Raw genomic sequence first — 19198 nt, 5'->3', positions numbered from 1 at the left:
ATGGCAACATCCAGCGCTCAATAGCACAGCACTTGATAGCGTGGAGGTGCTAAATAAGCATTTGTGGAAAGAAGAGAGTACAGGAGGCTTCTTAATATAGGCCCTGCTGATTGGAGAAGAGATATGGGTGTGGCTATGCTTATCGGGTTCAAAATGTTACTATTGACCTAAAAGTCAAGGCCTCTATTTTGAATGTCAGTGTCCTACTGTGATTTTATGCTACAGTTTTACAAGATGTTACTCATTGGGAGAAACTGGGTAAGGGGTATATAGGATCTAAATATTATTCCTTACAACTACATGTGAATTTACAATTATGTCAAAATAAACATTTAATTTTAAAAAGTCAAGACACAAGACCCATAGTCAATAATAAAAGAGAATTTGAGAATTATGGAGGAAAACAAATCAAGACCTCTGTTCAAGTATAAAGTTTGGAGTCTTCTTTAGCTATCATAACTGTCATTATAATATTTGAAAGTAAATATTCGTTGTGTGGGAAATATTCTGGCATTAAATATGTTAAGACTGTCCCCAAAAGTAATTCATTGAACTCTCTGGCCAATATAGTCTACAATGGATCTCAGCCAATGCTTAGAGTGAAATGTACAACAAAGAACAAGAGTGATTTCAAATGAGCTAATAACAAAATCTGCTAAGAGAACTAGAACAGAACCTGTCAGCATATTCTCATACTCTTTTGCCAAGCACAATCACTTCTCTACCCTACCTACCTAGTACCCACATCCTGGAATCATTTCCTCCCCTTATAGAGGTAGCAAAGAAGCCTTAGCTAAGTGGAACCTCAGTTAGGAGTCAGCTTTATATTATTACATCTGATTGTTGGTGTCTTGACCTGCTTACTTTTCTGCCTGACCCTTTTGATACCTACCTGAAGCTTCACTGAACTTGATGCTTCAGGTGATGTCCTATTCATCTTCTTTGGAGCACTTACTACAATTGTTATTTATAAGATGACTTAATGTTTGCCTTCTCCTCCAGACTGCTAAGTCCCACGTAGGTAGAAACTGTGTCTACTTCATCACTAGTCTCTTGTGCCTGGCAGAGTGCTCAGTACACATTAGGCATTTCACATCTATTTGTTGACAGAATTAATGAACTTCAGCTTGCATAACTGGTTTCTGATATCATTAATGTTTCTATCCTGCATACTCCTCAACTCTTGCTTTGACCTTCCAGATGTCTGACCTGCTTCCTACTCTAACCTCTTAATAATGCCTGGCTTTTCCAGTCCTAACATACACCTGGTATTCCTTATCCTGTTGCTGTTAACATAACAAATAGAAATGTAATACTTAATAAACTTTTGCCCATTTTTTTCTTTTCATATACCACTTGTTATACATTCTCAGAAAGATAAAACATAATAAATGTGAATTAATTTGCTGGGGAGTATCTTTGAACCAGATATTCTTTTTTTTTTTTTTTTTTGAGATGAAGTCTCACTCTGTCACCCAGGCTGGAGTACAGTGGCACAATCTCAGCTGCAACCTCCACCTCCCGGGTTCAAGCGATTCTCCTGCCACAGCCTCCTAGGAGCTGGGACTACAGGTGTGCGCCACCATGCCCAGCTAATTTTTGTATTTTTGGTAGAGACGGGGTTTCACCATATTGGCCAGGCTGGTCTTGAACTCCTGACCTCATGATCCACCTGCCTCAGCCTCCCGAAGTGCTGGGATTACAGGCGTGAGCCACCATGCCCAGCCTGAACCAGACACTCTTCTAAACACCTTATATCTATTAGCTTATTTAATCCTTGTAACAACCTGTGAAGGTAGATACCATCATTACCTCCATATTACAGATGAAGAAACTGAGATATAGACAGATTAAGCAACTTGCCCAGGGTCGTACTGCTAGTAAGTGGTGAAGCCAGTATCTCCCCCAGGTAGTCTGGCTCCAGAGCCTATGCTTTAAAATATTACACTTTTTTACAAAAGCATTCACCTAGAAAAATTACAAAGCCCATGTATTTGCCCTGTTGCAATACTGGACAACCCACATCATTTTACTATTGCCAAAGCTCCAAATGTATAATTCAGAAAACCAGAACCTTACCACCCGCAGTGATCTCACTCCAACAACGTCCAGGAAAGATATAGCTCCACAGTCAAGCACAAGGCTATGGATTGGCACTTTGGGAACGTTCACTTTGACTGGAAGCTCAGAGTTCCAATCCACTTGAATCTCTATTTCCTTGGTTGGGATATCAAGTTCCTCCAGATCTTCAATATCCTCATCAGGCTCAAAAGCATTATTTGTTGAAACAGCATCACTTATGATGCCATTCTAAACGAAGAAAACACTGTCAACTTAATTGTCAAAGATTTGAAATCTTTCAACCATTCATATCAAATTATCCAAAAGACCTACACACTGTTCCTTGGTAAGCAAGACATCAAGGAGATGAATTTTTAAGGATGGGTTTCACCTCAGCCCAAACTTTGATGTTGTCTAGGAAGAAAACTGGGAGAACAGAGGAGCCAGGAAACTTTTGTTTTCTGGATGATTGTGGAACTTTGCCAAGAAATACACTGGCCAGAAGAATCTGAGTAAAAGTTAACAGCTCCAAAAGTTTATGGACTTAGACTGCCTTCTATGGTGGGTAGTTTTCTGGCATTGAATTTGCACTTATTTTGTTCCTTTCAGTAAAAATAAAGTATAGAAAATAATGCAGACACTGTTCATGGTGGGGAAAAAAATCACATCCTGTGTTTCCAGGCAGCGCTGCTGATTTTATTTCATTCCCTTCCACTCCCGCTTGCCTATAAGAATAGCTCAGTTGTTCTTTGATACGTACATGTCATTTGTTCATTCACATCTGGATACTAAAGAGGATAGATTTAATTTTAGACCCTCTAACTGCTCTCATCAGGGAAAGGAAATAATTTAAGGGGGAAAAGAAAGATGTCATCTCACCTTTGTTGCTCTTAATTGTCCACTTTTTATTAGTTTCTGTATTTTCCTCAGCGCTTTCAGCCTCTTATTATATACTCTAATGGCATCAAATCCAACCTTTGGAAATAAATGTCAAGTTACTTAAAATGCCTGGCACCTAAAGCTTATTAATGGCAACTGTTATCTGGAAAGGCTATTTCTCAAAGGGTATAATTCCTTGAGCTATCCTGCCAAAAAAGAAATTGTAAGGTCTGATGGAGTAGATCTCTGTCTACTCCCAGGCTACCCTACTCCTACCCAGAAGCTCTGAGAAGACAGTAGCATATCAAAGGCTCCAAGACAGTAAAAGACAAAACAGAAACACACACACACCCCAAAATACCCTCTTTAGTTTAAGTCTGGGTTTTCCAAATTCCCTTGGTATCACAGAGCCCTTTTGTTATTGCAAAATCTGTGAACATTCCTCTGAATCAGTTTGCCCTGGAACTCACTTAGAAAAACACTGATTTAGAGGCAAACTCCAAGTTCAAAGCATAGCATGGCATTTGGTGCCAGGATTTTCTACTTATTTATTCCACTAGTATATTTTACTTTTTGCTGCAACTGGGCAACCCTACCTCCAATACATGTTTCCACTGTCTCTCAGCTCACATAGTTCTCAAACACTTGACATGATTTCTTTCCTTCAGCCAACTGCCGCACAAAGCCTGTTAGTCCAACTAACCTGGATCTCTTCCTTCTATGAACTCTCAACTGTCTATACTACTTATTTGAAACTTACTCAAATTCTGCCTAGAAACATCTCTAATGTTTTTGTCTGGCATAGTTATTACTACCTGGGTTTTAACATATGTGTTTTTTTAATCCCCAAATAGACTGTAAATTATTTGAAGGCAAGGATGTTATATTTTAATTCTCATTGCCCTACACAAAGGGAAGAGGGTCTAGGGCCTATTCCTGATTGGACCCCAGTAAATACTTGTAGAATGAATGAAGTCTCAAAAGAGGTTAGAAAACAAATTTCTAGGGATAAAATACTTACTGTGGACTTGATACATTTTTTAAAACCATCGACATTGCCATAGAAAATAGGACTGGAAAATCTAAGAATCTTCACTCCTTGAGGTTCTTCAATCTGGCATTAAAAGAAATTGTCTGGGATTAAATAATTTCAAGCCTCAAGTATTTAATTACATTTCTGGCTACTTAGCAAGGAGTCAAGTCACAGTTGCTCAGAGGAGCTGGGTAGCAGCACTCAACTTTTCTTTCTTTTCTTTTTTTTTTTTTTTTGAGATGGAGTTTCACTCTGTTGCGCAGGCTGGAGTACAGTGGCACAATGTCGGCTCACTGCAACCTCCACCTCCTGGGTTCAAGGGATTCTCCTGCCTCAGCCTCCCAAGTAGTTGGGATTACAGGTGCTGCCACCACACCCAGCTAATTTTTCCATTTTTAGTAGAGACAGAGTTTTGCCACATTGGCCAGGTTGGTCTCAAACTCCTGACCTCAAGTGATTCACCCGCCTCAGCCTCCCAAAGTGCTGGGATTACAGGTGTGAACCACCGTGCCCGGCCTCTACAACTTTTCTTGAATAGGGAGACAACAGGTTACAAAAACTCTTGGACCTCTACAGTCTCATAGAAGGTCAAAGTTAGAAAGGGCCTTAGAAAGCAATTTATTCAACCCTCTGATTTCCAGAAAAGAAACTGAGGCTTAGAACAGTGCCATGATTTGCCTGAAGTTCATACCACTGACCCTCCTGATTTTGCTAACATTCTTTAAAAGTAGCAAAGAAAAAAAGCAAAATCAATGGGATTTGCAGAACTGAGGCCTATGATATCATCTGTTCTCACCCTGACATACAATGGCCACACCCAAAATAGAACCCAGGAATCACAGAATCATAGACTTTTCTAGTCTTCAGGAATCAGCAATTTTAGTCTAGCTGCTTCAGATGAGAAAACTGAGGTCCTGAGAGGCTGAATGACTTGGGCAAAGTCTCACCAAGATGGAGCCTAGAAGTCAGAATTCCCTAACTCAGCTTAGAGCTCCCTCCCCAAAGCCAAAAAAATCTCTAAATCATTTTAGCTCTTAATGGCACTTGGCTCAACATAACAGAAAGATCACGGAAATAAATTAAGTAGCAGCTACTGAAATCCCAGTTTCAAGGTCCAACTTTTTTTAATGTTAAGGTAAAATTAGACTACAACTTCCTAGGGTTGATATTATTATTATTATTATTTGCTAAATTTGTATTTTCTTGATTTACTTTCTCTGCTTTTTTATCTTTGTTTCCCCTAGTCACCACTAAGCAATTTTATTTGCAGGTGACACAAGTCCATCAATGGGATGTTTAATTTCTTTGTTTTTCATTTCCTGTGTCATATTTTATTTCTTCTAATACCAAGGATAAAGCAAAGTGTCAAATAATAAGGTCTTGGTCATAGAGAACTTGATAATCTCTTGTTAGAACTGAATAAAGAAAATCTTACAGAAGATAAGAATTATATACCAGATAAACAAAATTTTGGATGAACATCTAGAAATTGCCTATTATTTTTAAATTCCTCTTACAACAGTTTTATATTAAAATGACATTCAGCTAGCCAGGTGCAGTGGCTCACGCCTGTAATCCCAACTCTTTGGGAGGCCAAGACGGGCAAATCACTTGAGCTCAGGAGTTTGAGACCAGCCTGGGCAACATGGTGCAACCCCATCTCTACTAAAAATACAAAAATTAGCCAGGCGTGGTGGCACCTGCCTGTAATCCCAGCCACTCGGAGGCTGAGACAAGAGAATCACTTGAACCCAGGAGGCAGAGGTTGCAGTGAGCTGAGATCCTGCCTCTGCACTCCAGCCTGGGTGAAGAGTGAGACTCCATCTAAAAAGAAAAAAAAAAAAAGACATTCAGCTAGCATAGACAAAATTCACATAAGCCATGGGTGTCAGAAGGTGCACTGGATCAAAAGTTTTCATGACACTCCCTGTGGACTAACAGACTTTCCCAATAGGCATTTTCTCCCTTTGGCTACCTTGTACGTAAAATGGAGCTGCTGAAACTTCAGGCTAGTAAACCCAAGTCCAGCAAATGTCTCACAAAGGTACTTACGTTTTTGTAATTCTTGGTACTTTTGTAGATATCTGTGCTAGGGATGCTTCCAAGGCCATTCCAAGAAGGACTAGAAGAAAAAATATCAAGGTCAAGATTTTTTGGAACAGCCGTATTTTGGAATAAAAAGTTAAAAACAACAGCTACTAAAGAGCCCATCATTCTGGTGTTTTGGACTCTGTCTTTATTGCAGATGACATTTTCCTGTAGCTAACTCTGAAATGAACAGCTGGTGTTTGTGTGGAATCGGCAGGGGAGGGGAGAACTGTGCCTCTCTTCTGATGGCTGAGAGAAATAATGAGCATCATACTTGCACGTGCACAACACGTTATAGGATAAGCATAGAGCTTTCACGCATGTGAAATCTTATTTAAGCCCTGCCATAACCCTGAAAGGTCATCAGTATTATCCTGATTTTTATTGTTAACTAAACTTCTTAAGAGAAGTGAGAAAAGGCCTGGAGGTAAAGGGCAGCAGAGCCTCTGTCTTTAACCCCTGGGTCTTCCAGTGCCTGGCGCTTCTTTGTGACTTAGTCATTTTTTATAGAAATAGGAGACTGGAGGACCAGAAATAAGTCCTTCCTGTCAACCAGACTATTGATTTCTTGTTCCTGATGCAATCAGATAAATTCCGTGACTCTTCATGTGTGACTAGAGACATGCTAAATACAATTCCTGAAGAAAGAGTATCTGTTTAGTGTACTTTCAGCATTGTGCTCTCTGGATCAGCATGATAATTACTGGAAATTAAATACTGTGGAGGATACTGCTTTTTGTTGGCTAAAAGCCTAGATACCAAACTAGCAGCTAAAATGTGCCACCAGTTATTCCTTGGCTTACAGGTTTGTGCTGATTTTTAACTTAAAAGTTTATAAGCTAATCTCTCTCTGTAAAACCCTTCTTTTCCAACCACATCCACACAAGAAAAAATAGACACTGAGGCATATACAGCATGAGAGACAGCATCTTCTAAGGAGCGTTTCTGAGACGTGTCCTAGAAGCAAATTGAGAACTTTGGGAGCCTGCAAACCTTCTCAGGCCCTTGGGCAATCATTTAGGATGCTGAGGTAGAAAACACAAGCCTTTTGGGTAGGCACCAATATGCCAAGGTAGGGAAGGAGGGCAGGAAGGAGAACTGGCTGGTGGGACAGGAGAGGTGAGCGGATGCTAAGCTGAAGACATCTATCTTGATGTTTTTCCAGGTGTCTTCTTCTTTCACGGCCCAAGCACAGGCAGAGCAGGGGCCAGAAGTCTGGAAAGACGATGGACACATTGAGGAGGGAGAGAAAGACTCTGTTCCCCTCTAGGCCCAGGAGGGCACTTAACTAAGGCCTCTCTAGAATCAAAACAAAACCAACCAAAAAACCACCTTCAGGCTCCTCACCTTCCCTCACAGGCTGTTTTCCATTATTTAAATCATGTCTTTGCTGCCTTCACTCTGCATATGAGCTAATTGTTTCCTTCACATAATTGTGTGGTTTATTGGTTATATGCCTTATTGGTTATATGAGAGATTTGAATGAATTTTGGCTGTCATCAGCTATTTTAAAGTCCTCCTGTTCTGGGTTATGTAACTTTTGGTTACTAGCTTTAAAAAAGAAAATGAACTATAATATATAACAGCTGTCTTGTCCCAAGCCTGGGGCCGAGCGCCTTACATTCCTCATCTCATTTAAAGAAGAAACTACAAAGCAACTTCAGCCTTTGGCTAAACTATGTACTTTTTAGTCTTACCACAACTAAAAGGAGAGCACAGCAGTAGAGGACATGAGTAGGTACATAGGTTCAAATCTTAGCTCTGCCACGTACTAGCTGTGTGATCTTAGGGATGCTTCTTAGCTTTTCTGAATTTCTCTTTTCTCACCTGTAGAATGAGACTAATCAAAACTATTCATAGGCTATTTTTGAAGATTAAGTATGTCTGTAAAACACTGTCTGCTTAATGCATAGAAGCACTCAATATACAGTAACTATAACGAAAGAAAGTGGCTTCACTATATTTATCAAAATGGTATAAGGAAGCTCAGAGTGTGTTGTTCTGTTTATAGGAAATCTGGGTTTTACGTTACTCACAACTGAACTCTCAGGACCACAGTCAACAGTCCAAATATAAGGCCAGCTAGTAAACCGAGATCCAGCCCCAGAATGATGGACACTATACACGTAAACACCCAGATAACCTAGGGAAAAAAATAGAAATGAAAAGAATTATATTAATGTATCAGGTACCATCATGTGATAACTACCTATAAAAATAAGATCAATGATCCACAAACAAATTACATTTTTTTTTTTCTTTTGAGATAGGGTCACACTCTATTGCCCAGGCTGGAGTGCAGTGGCACCATGATAGTTCACTGCAGCCTCCATCTTCTGGATTCAAGTGATCCTCCCGCCTCAGCCTCCCAAGTAGCTGGGACTACCCACAAGTACATACCACCAAACCCGGCTAATTTTTAATCTTTTATTTGTAGTAGAGACAAGGTCTCACTGTGTTACGCAGGCTGGTCTCAAATTCCTGAGCTCAAGTGATCCTCCTGCCTCCCAAATTGCTGGGATTACAGGCCTGAGCCACTGTGCCTGGCCAAATCACAGCTTTTTAAAAATATTGTGACTTCATTCATTTTATATTTAAGTAGCTGTAGAAACTGGGCTTCTCAATTAAGACCAACTGTCCCATTTTATTTATTTCTAAATTTTTGAATAGCTAATATATTTGTATGGTTCATAAGGGAATTATCATTAAAAAGGGGAAAACTCTTGCTCACAACCCTCCCCCTTCTCCACCCATTCCCAACTTCCCTCCCTCCTTGTATCCGCTTTTATTTCTGCCTGTGTCTGTGCTTTTCCCCAGCATTTCTATTCTGGTCTCTTTTTCACTTAACGATTTGTCTTGGAAAATTTTCCATATCAATATGTAGGAAGTCTTCTCATTCTTTTTATGGTTTAAATTAGAGAGGAACTCTGAAGGATTTAGCTTCTGATTTTTAGTTTCTCAGAATAGTTGCAAAGGTTATGTTAGTCAGAGTTAAAGTCAGCGTGGGTTTTTACATTTTGTATTTTGTTTTTGCATTGTTTTGTATGTTGTTTGTCCTTCTAAACTAGGGTGTTTAAACATTTTTTTGCTTTTTGTGTTTAGAAGGCCAAAGGTGTATGAATGAGCCTCATATGGGATTCTTGCTGGAAATTGACCTTCCCAGAGATACAGAATCTTCACAAAATGCAGTTCACATGGAAGACTTCATGGCTTTGATTTATCCCCACAATTCTAATTTCTCCTCTGGAGTTCCCAAAGCACAAGTGAGACTTAGGGGATGGGGGGAATATAGTGATATGGCAGGAAGCATATAAGAACCAAATCTTATTTCAGATAAATATAGGTGGTAGGTGACTTACAGCATCAATCTTATTCTGTCTCCACAGACGAGGAATGTCACACAGCTGCATAAACATCCCTTTCAGGTTGGCAATTACAACAGCTGCCAAGACCGACTGCCAAGAGAGACAGAGAAGGCTGTGTTATTCAGGGAATGGTTTTCCATGTGATGATTGTTAAATCTCCTGTTATTTATCTGGTAGCAGAGTAGTGAAGGGAAATTATGCAATCGGTATGCAGAGAAGCAGGGTTATACCTTCTGCAAGGGTTCCAGAAGCTTCCCCAGGGCAAGAATGGCGATCATCACAATCGCAGCAGAGATGATGCCAGCAACCTGGAAGACACACACCTCCTATGAAAAGGATTCGTCCTTCTCCCTTGTGTCTTCCAGCTCACTGGATGTGTGTATGAGACAGCCTGTTCACAGACACACTTCATACTTCCCTGTCTCCCCCTTCTGCTCAATACTGTCGAGAAAAGTGATAGTTATTTGCTCAAGCCACAAAACTGAACAAAAATGGCATCTATATATGCTATGGCAGAGAAGTTAAAGAAAATATGGGGACTGATCCTATGAAATTAAAGCCAGTTTGACAGGGATTTTATTTGGTGATAGTACACACCTGCGGTTTCGGCGTCCATTCAGGCCAAGCTTCTAGTTATTTACCATGGCAGGAAACATGGACCAATCCCCCCTTTCCCAACAACAGAGATCATTGTCGTATTCTTGGGAAATAAATTCTCATGGCACATAGCTGATTTTTCTGCATTATTGAAGCTGCAGCTATAATAGCAACTCTGATAACACTTCGTACTTGTAGCACATGGTCTCATTAAAGTCTCAGAGAAAATAAATTTACTCATCCTATTGCAAATTCGAAATGCCACATTTGCACATTGAGAGGTGGGATTGTGTCTCCTGCCTCCTCTGACAGTTCCACGGAGGCAGGCTCAGAGCTTTGCCCCAAGGCAGCCTGAAACAGTGACTATGGAGTAACGGGGCAATAGCAGGGGTAAAAGGAAGCTTCAGAAACTTTACCTTCGCTGGCAAAAATAGCTCTCCTAAGATCCATACTAGTTAGGAGAGAGGCTGAGGGGGTGGGGACTACTCTCTCGTTTGATTAGATGACCAATGAATTCTCTGTTGAGACAGCTGGGGCAGAGCCAAGATGAAGATTAGAAGCTCTGAAACAAAGAAGAAAAGGAGACAGGGAACTACAAGCAAAGCAATCAGAGAGGAAACAACTGGGAAGATTTTGTTGAGCACAAGTACTGTCTAGTGCAAAAGGTCTGAGTTACGGGAGACAGACACAGCAAATATAAACAGAAAATTAGAAAGCACTTGCTCTACCTGGCAAATTGATCATTTATATTTAGATTATAGTTGGGTCAGCCTGAGGCAATATGATGTGTATGAGGTACTAAAAAGCGTGCTTTGTATGTCTGGCTGGCTTTTCTATGCTCTTCCTATCCCCATCCTAGATTCCCAGTACCCTGGTGCTCTTTCCCTTCTCCTGACTAAGCAGAGAAGCTGATATCCTACTTCCCTCCCTTCTCTTCGCTTTCCTTCATATCCCTTCCCTTCCTCTCCCTTGTCCTTCCTTCCATTTTCTTCTTTCTTTCCTTCCCTTATCCCTCCCTTCCTTCCTTGCATGCAATTACTCAACCAGTATTTACCGAGCCACTTGCATCTCACTGTGGATGGGGAGCTCTGTGAACTGGAGAAAGATATGGAGATTTGGGGACAAGGACCACAGTCAGCTGCCAAACTCATGCCAGGAGAGTGGCCACCTACTTGCCAATTATATGTCATAATGAGTCTCCAATTATGGGAGGCCAAGGCTCATTTTGGCCACTATATTAAAATTGGTGAGTGATCAATTATTTCTACTTACTTGATAAGGCTTGTTTGTGAGAAACTCTGTAGACTTTATATCTACAACCAGATTCAGTTACTAAAAAATTATTCTGTTAAGGGAGGGGGTAATCAGAGCTAAAGAGTGGTTTGTAATCAGAATTACTTTTCTGTGAGTCAGTGGAAGTCAGATGGGGGTGAGGGAAAGAAAAGGTTCCAATGTTTAATTCTTCTACAATCTGTAGATGTGCTAAAAACAGTTCGTGTCCACCAATACTCATTCTTCCATTCATTCATTCAGCAAATATATGCCAGGTGCTTCTTATGTGCCAGGCACAATATATGTATCATAGATGCTAAGATGCTATTCTTGCCTAAAGGAGTGAAACAATGAGCATTTACAAGTATGTGCTAAGGCTTTACATTTTCTTGCCTAATCCTCACAATATCCCTGTGAAATGGATGCAATTATCATTTCCATTTTGTAGATGCTGAAACTGAAGTTCCAACATAAGAGAAAACACGAGAAGCCACACAAGAGAAGCCCTGCCAGTTTATTTGTCCATCAGTCCCTGGATTTCAGTTCAGGCACTTAGACTTTTAACCCCAGAATTTAGTATACATTTCAATAATTAAACATGAAGCCATTTCTTTACTCGTTTCATTCTTTAATGCTGAAATCCTGGCATCCTTCATTCCTAAATATAATACATGCCAGTATGTGGCAGGGGGTATTAGCTTACCAGAGCACCATTATCCCCCAAACCCTGTGCCAAGGAGGTCACTTTACATGGGCATACTTACTGGGACAGCCAGCCCATGCCTCATTTGAGCCTGGAGGTAACATCAGGAGAATGGACATCAGCAGTTTGAGATTTGCCTGCACCCGCTGAAGACCATGTGCTCTGGAGAGCTTGTCAGTGCTCCGTCTCAAATGAAAGCAGCAGAAGTTCCTGCTGCTGACAGCTGCAGCCTGAAATGTGCACAGCTTTGGAAATTGGCTCTGACCTCTTCCCCTTGACCACAGATCTCTGGCTATGCCTCCGGATATGAGCTGTATTATTTTACCTGCTCCCTCAGAGCTGGAAATATTTGCAAAAAAAATAAAAAATTAAGAAAAATTCTGAAAATAAAATTTTTTGTTGAAAAGCAGCCAAAAAACTGGAAGAGGCCAATTCTTCCAAGTCTGTCACAAGATCCATTATAAATAGGAAAGGAGCATCACATGCATATTGGGGACAATTAAAGCCCTCCCTGGGCAAGTCACTGTTGGAGTCATTAGTTTTTTCAGTTATTCTCGTATATATATATGAGAATATATATATATATATATGTTTGTGTGTGTGTGTGTGTGTGTGTGTGTGTGTATATATATATTTGACACAGAGTCTAGCTCTTGTCGCCCAGGCTGGAATGTAGTGGCACGATATTGGCTCACTGCAACCTCCACCTCCCAGGTTCAAGTGATTCTCCTGCCTCAGCCTCCCAAGTAGCTGGGATTACAGGCATCTACCACCACACCTGGCTAATTTTTGCATTTTTAGTAGAGAAGGGGTTTCACCATGTTGGCCATGTTAGTCTCGAACTCCTGACCTCAATTGATCCGCCCACCTCAGCCTCCCAAAGTGCTGGGATTACAAGCATGAGCCACTGTGCCCGACTTATATTTATTTTTTAAGTGTCCCCGCCTTAGTAAAACCCATTTGAAGACTGTGAAGACTGTGCATGTGTGTGTGCATGTGTGTGTGTGTGTGTGTGTGTGTGTGTGTGTGTATTGCACTATGTAGTTTGGGTTTGTTGTTCTTTGGAGTCTCAATGCACTTCTTACTCCTAAATAATAGTTCTTTCTGTGTTGGGAAGATAAGGACCTCAAGGCATAAGAGACAGAAGCAAAATTCCTGAGTCTGTCTCTTGTGCCCATCTGCTTGGTGTGGTCTCTTCGACTGTGTCCTGCTGGAAAGAGTGGCCTTTGAGTATGGCTCCTGAGCTTTCTGAACACTGAAGGAGGGATTATCCAGAGATTAACTAGGATGCTGGCTTTTTGGCCACCTTGTAAAGGCAACAACTGCAAACCACATTTAAAAGATAAGATTAAACCCACATGCAGAACTTCAACAACATAAATCTTACTCAGGAAGAAATGCCAAAAATGTTACAACAAAAATATTCTTGGCTAGCAAACTGTTGTTCTGTGGGACCAAACGCCCCTGGAGGAAGTTCCTGATCCTTCTAAAGGAAATGTGAATAGAGCTTTTCACTTTCCTGAAAATAGAATAGCTCCTAAAGCCAGGAAGCGCTTTTACCAGGCCATCTGTCTCCCCAGGTAACAAATTAACAAAAATCAGCATCCTTCATTACTGATTCCTTGTCAGTTGTTATTGACCACAGCAGGTAAGTGTAGCTACATGACAGGTAAGCACTGACAAATAGATTTGAGAATCACTGTATCAGAAAACCATACATGTTGTTTTTTAAGAGATTTCAGGTGAGGGAGTGGAACAAGAGGAATAGGCCTGAGGTGAATCAGATTAGGAAGTACAAGTCTGAAAGGCAAATTGTCCTGCTAAGCTCGGTGCGAGCCTTCCTCTGTTGCCATTCCTCGACTTGTTCTCTGAGATGGATATCATAAGGCTGTTGTTCCTACCTGTGTCTTTCCTCCAGTGCTCTCCTGGACGGCCGTGCGGGAAAGAGCAGTGGTGGCCACAAAACAAGAGAAGAATCCTGAGAAGATGTTGCTGATCCCAAAGGCAATGAATTCCTAAGGAAGAGACTGGATGACAACGATCCTACAAATTGAATCTTTGCAAGACCTTCGCTGAGTATTTCAGGAAGTACATTAAGAATGAAAACTCCCATGCCTACTCTGCGTGGTGGTCCAATTTAATTTTTACCGTGATAGGTACTTGGGGTCCTTGTACGACATCAGGAGTTTGGACGCCATACCATCTGAGAGAGGTCTCATTGCTCTCGATAATTTTTAAAGTTGACAAGAAATAGCACCTGATCATTTGCTAAGCTTTTTCACTGCCTAGTGAATGGAATGTCTGCAGCTCTCACATAAAGTGTTTTTCTGTGGTTGAATATTCACTATGAAGCATATTATGACTAGCAGTGCTGTTATTCTGCTTGATTACTAACCATTTAACTACTGTTATTGCTATACTGTATTTTCAGAAACATATAGATACAGAACTTGCAAATTTGCAAGCAGTGTGAAATCAGCTTACCTGGCAATGTATCACATGCCTACAAAAATTGCCTGTATATATTAACTGCACAGTGAACCACCTCAATTTAAAGTGGTCACAACTATTATTAATGTTTGTTGCACTGTTTTGTCACATTATAACTGCCGTTAAAAATAATTGCCAAGAGGTACTGGGTTACATGAAGAATTCTCTTTCTGACCTAATATGTTCACTTTGAATGTTATTTATGACCTGACTGAATTAGCTCTTTTAAAATTAGTGTTATTTCAACTTATTTCTTAAAAAAGCAAAGTGATGCAGTGTGTCTATTCCAAAATAATTTCTAATTAGCAAACACAAGAGGAAAACCAACCCAATAAGGTCTGGTGAAAGAATCCAACCCCTTCTTTAGCTGACACCAAAATCTTTTCCATTTATGTTTTTTTCCTGTTTCCAGCCCTATAAAACCAGTTCAGCAAAAGGGCACCCATACCTGGTTCCCATCGATGGTGTAATCATACTTGGTGGCATATACTTTTCCTACTGACACTGCAATAGCATAAGCCACCACAGCGATGGAAAATGATGCAGCCAGCATCTCCGAGAACAAGCTCACAGGTGGAAGTTCAGGAGGCAAAAACCTAGTGAGTTTTTAAGTGAAAAATGCTGTGAAGATTTGACCACCATCCTTTTTCCCCATCTCATCAAATGCTATATCTGCTCAGTCACATATTAGACATGAAAGTACTTGATCCAAAAGAACAAAAAGCACACGAAATACATACATGATAGTAGCAGCTTTTATAATGTTTAATCAGAAGTTGGTGTTATCTTACTGGCTGATTTCTTTGTCCTCTATTTTTGAGCCTAGCCATGCTGACTCTTCTCTATCTCTCACATGAATAAATCTGCTGTTACTGATTCTTTAATATCATACAGCCCCATCCATGCCATTTCACATGTTAGTGTTTCTCCTTCCACAATTCCATCTTAAAGTTCTTTGAATTTAAAAGAGATTCTAGCCATAATATGAGATTTACTGTGTTTGAAGAGGTATCAGCTCTGTTAAAGAGACAAAGAATGTATGAAGCTAAAAGAGCTCAGTGGAAAATCCTTTGAGAGCCAGGACATTTAAAATCTTCTTAAGGCAAAAAAGATTAAATTAATGTAATTATCACAACGCTCCATAGTGACTAAAATATCTCAGTGATTGTGGGGTCCAATGACTACTGTTTGACAAAACCAGAGCTACCCTACAAACCATATAAAAAAATTAACCTACACATTATACCACGAGGTTCTCTCAAATATGAAAATTTGGGAGATGGACCTATATCTTGATGACTATCCATATGGTATAATTCCAGAGGCCCCCAGCCATGAAAGGTCTCCCCGACCTACATCACTTATGCCTAAAGTTTCTTTAATAAGGAAACTACATTTTCCCCTATAATTAGAGAACAGTGGTAAAAATAAAATAGAAATAAGGTTCTTAGAGAAAACCATAGAGAAAGCATCCTAGGTATTGTTGAATCCACCACTCTTGTCTTGTCTTGTTGATAAAGGAACTTAGACCTGGAAACGTGAAGTGATTTGCTTGATGTCAGTTAGTGGGTCCAGGTCTAAATGTTAGATATTAGACGATTTCCTACCTAACAAGATCTGTCTGGTTCTCTGCCCTTGTAGCCTTACTCTCCCTACCAGTGAGGTTAATTTTCAGACTCCTTTTCTCCTTATATCCCATCCTACCCCACAATGAGACTGTGGAATGAACCCCATCTGTAGACAGACAGGATGTTGGAAACCCTGATCCAACAGTTGGGCGACTCAGCATGACATCACCTGCTAGTTGGGATGTGACTTGGGACCACACTTCTCAAAACAGGCTCCTGACTTGCTCCTGAGACCCAGTCAACCCTACTTCAGGTCACTCGGACTTGTCAGGATAACTTTCCAGTTTCACATACAGCTTAGTTTTGATAGCAGCCTAATGCACTTTGCCTGCCTGGCTGCCTAGTTCTCCAAATATGACCTGATCCTTGATTATCCAGGTGTGCAAAGTGTAAAGTGCAAAGACTTAAGTCAAAGGACCAGAATCACTCTCAAATGACTTTAGGCATGTTATTTAAACCCACCACATCCCAGTTTCCTCAGCTGTCAAATGGGGACTATATATTCTTCTCATATGATTCAATGAGGAATCACTTGTGTAAGTAAGTAATTAGTGTCTACACATATAGTAGGTTCTTGGTATATATTGGGAGAATCTAAGTCTGTCATACTCCTGCCACTCATGTCTGCTGTCTTGCTGAACCCTAAGTGTGCCAATTATTTGCCCCAAACCAATTGAAGTCCCGTCTGGATATCTTCTAATGACCTGTAAGTAAGCCTTTTGTCCTTGCCCTTGCCCTTGCCCTCCTTCTGTGGATATAACTCTCCAAATTTTTTGCTCAGTGGGCCTGTTTGGCCCCAGCCAAGCATGTCAGGCCTGATCATAAGACAACACTATGAAGAGCCCAAGGGAGTGAGCATGTGAACACACACTTATCTGAAAAGATGAAGACCGGGAGAAGTGAACCCTGAAGGGCCCAAAATTCCACAAACGACAGGCCAGCGTCATAAACAGAATACCAAACAGAATACCAGAGTACTTCAGACTGGGTCTGAACACTTGGCAAATGCACCACCACTCCAGCTAGAGGAGAAGAGTAGCCCTCAGAAAGCAGCCAGGAAAAAAACCCTGTGGTTTTGTTGGCTTTGCCCCTGTGCCACACTTTCAAGTACAACTGCAAAGCACATACTTTAAAAACAACAGTAGGCCTGAGTTCCCCAAACCAATGAATGGAACCCAGATTGATGGGACAGGGCATGTTCTGCGGGCCACCTATAACTTGATACATCCTAGGAAACCTGACAAAAGGGGTCTATAACAGTGCCTGTAATCCCAGCACTTTGGGAGGCTGAGGCAGGCAGATCGCCTGAGGTCAGGAGTTTGAGGCCAGCCTGGCCAACATGGTGAAACCCCGTCTCTACTAAAAATTAGCCAGGCATGGCAGTGTGTGCCTGTTGTCCCAGCTACTCAGGAGGCTGAGGCAGGAGAATTGCTTGAACCTGGGAGGCAGAGGTTGCAGTGAGCCGAGATCATGCCACTGCATTCCATGCTGGGTGACAGAGTGAGGTTCTGTTTCAGAAAAGGAAAGAAAGGAAAAGAAAAAGAAAGAAAGAAGGAAAGAAAGAAAAGAAAGAAAGAAAGAAAGAAAGAAAGAAAGAAAGAAAGAAAGAAAGAAAAAAGAGAGAGAGGAAGGAAGGAAGGAAGGGGAGGAAAGGGAGGGAAGGTAGGAAGGGGAGGAAAGGGAGTGCAGGTAGGAAAGGGAGGGAAGGGAGGGAAGGGAGGGAAGGTAGGAAAGGGAGGGAAGGGAGGGAAGGAAGGGAAGAAAGAAAGAGAATGAAAGAAAGAGTAACAAACATGACAACAAGAGGACCTCTGGAACTGACGAAGACAGGAGGCAAGACAGTGAATAGGGATTAAAATTTAGAGGACAGAGCCGTCAATCTTGTTATGGGTTTATACACACACACACACACCCACACACACACACCACAGAGATCATGCCACTGCATTCCAGGCTGGGTGACAGAGTGAGACTCTGTTAAAGAAAAGAAAAGAAAAAAGAGAGTAACAAACATGACAACAAGGGGACCTCTGGAACTGGCAAGGACAGGAGGCAAGAGAGTGAATAGGGATTAAAATTTAGAGGACAGAGCTGTCAATCTTGTTATGGGTTTACACATACACGTGCGTGAGCACACACACACACATACACACAGACACACACACACCACTATAACAGAAGAGGTAAAAGAGAAGCCTGGGCAGGATGAGTGAGGAACTGGGCAGATTACGAGTTGCAGATAAGGACCAGTTGCATGAGAAGAGAGGCACATGACTGGCCCTCATAGTGTCTGCTGGTTAAGAAAGCACCCAGGATGGGAGAATGAGTGAATCCTAGTGGGGCGCTTAGGTGTTGACTGGACAAGGAAAAGTTGTATGTTTCTACCAGGAAAGGGAGTAGAGGGAAGGGCATGGAGCCACTGTTTTTGGCTGTCCAATGGGGCATTGTTATTGGGGACTAACTTATGGTCCTAACGTATGGTCCTAGGTTAGGAGTGATCCTAACTTATGGACCCTCAATAGGATAAAGGGAACTACGAGCAGCAGCCTTAATGGAGGATTGAAGCAGGGAGGAGATCAAAAGGGGGCATATCACAATCTCTCTGTCCCTCTTCCTTTCACTGTGCTCACCTCAGGGCCACTTTAAAACTCTGCTTGCTTTTTTCCAATCTCTCCACTCCCTTTCTTTTTCAGGTTTGTTAATATCATCAGAATTGCTTCTGTGCTACCAAGTGAGATCAGATAACCAAGGCCTTTGTTGTGGCTTGTTTATAATGACATAGGCTTGGGTATTTTATTCCTTCAACAAGTGTTTTCTGAGAGCTTACTGTGAGATGAGCTCTGTGCTCTGGGACAGAGCTGAACAACACCAATGGGGTCACTGCCCTCATGGAGTAGCTTAAAGTCCCTGGGGCCAGGCAGGTTAAATTAGCTGACCAAGCTGACCAGGTGGTCTGTCAAAGGATTCAGCTTCATTAAACTCAAGGGCGAGAGGCTAGAAATCTGTTCTCAGGAGGAGAGCACAGGAAAGCTCTGCAGAGGACCTGGAGGGATAATTTAGGGCAGAAGAAATGAGTTCCCTA

General features: G+C 41.3%; 1 protein-coding gene across 1 annotated transcript in view; it reads right to left on the bottom strand.

Annotated features, from left to right (window-relative positions):
- The window catches only part of SLC26A4 (solute carrier family 26 member 4), a 56982-nt gene that overhangs the window by 13673 nt on the left and 24111 nt on the right, over positions 1–19198 (bottom strand). The window contains exons 9-17 of the mRNA NM_000441.2: positions 14937–15084; positions 13900–14013; positions 9657–9734; positions 9421–9516; positions 8098–8204; positions 6026–6095; positions 3962–4054; positions 2941–3036; positions 2080–2310 (exon numbers count right to left, since the gene is read on the bottom strand). Of these exons, the coding sequence (NP_000432.1) occupies positions 2080–2310; positions 2941–3036; positions 3962–4054; positions 6026–6095; positions 8098–8204; positions 9421–9516; positions 9657–9734; positions 13900–14013; positions 14937–15084 (1033 nt within the window). The remainder of the gene's footprint in view (positions 1–2079; positions 2311–2940; positions 3037–3961; positions 4055–6025; positions 6096–8097; positions 8205–9420; positions 9517–9656; positions 9735–13899; positions 14014–14936; positions 15085–19198) is intronic.

The sequence above is a fragment of the Homo sapiens genome, chromosome 7 (assembly GCF_000001405.40).
Source record: "Homo sapiens chromosome 7, GRCh38.p14 Primary Assembly".
In the NCBI taxonomy this organism is placed as follows: Eukaryota; Metazoa; Chordata; class Mammalia; order Primates; family Hominidae; genus Homo; species Homo sapiens.
The sequence above is the reverse complement of the archived record's forward strand: the minus strand, read 5'-3'. Positions and strand labels throughout refer to the sequence as shown.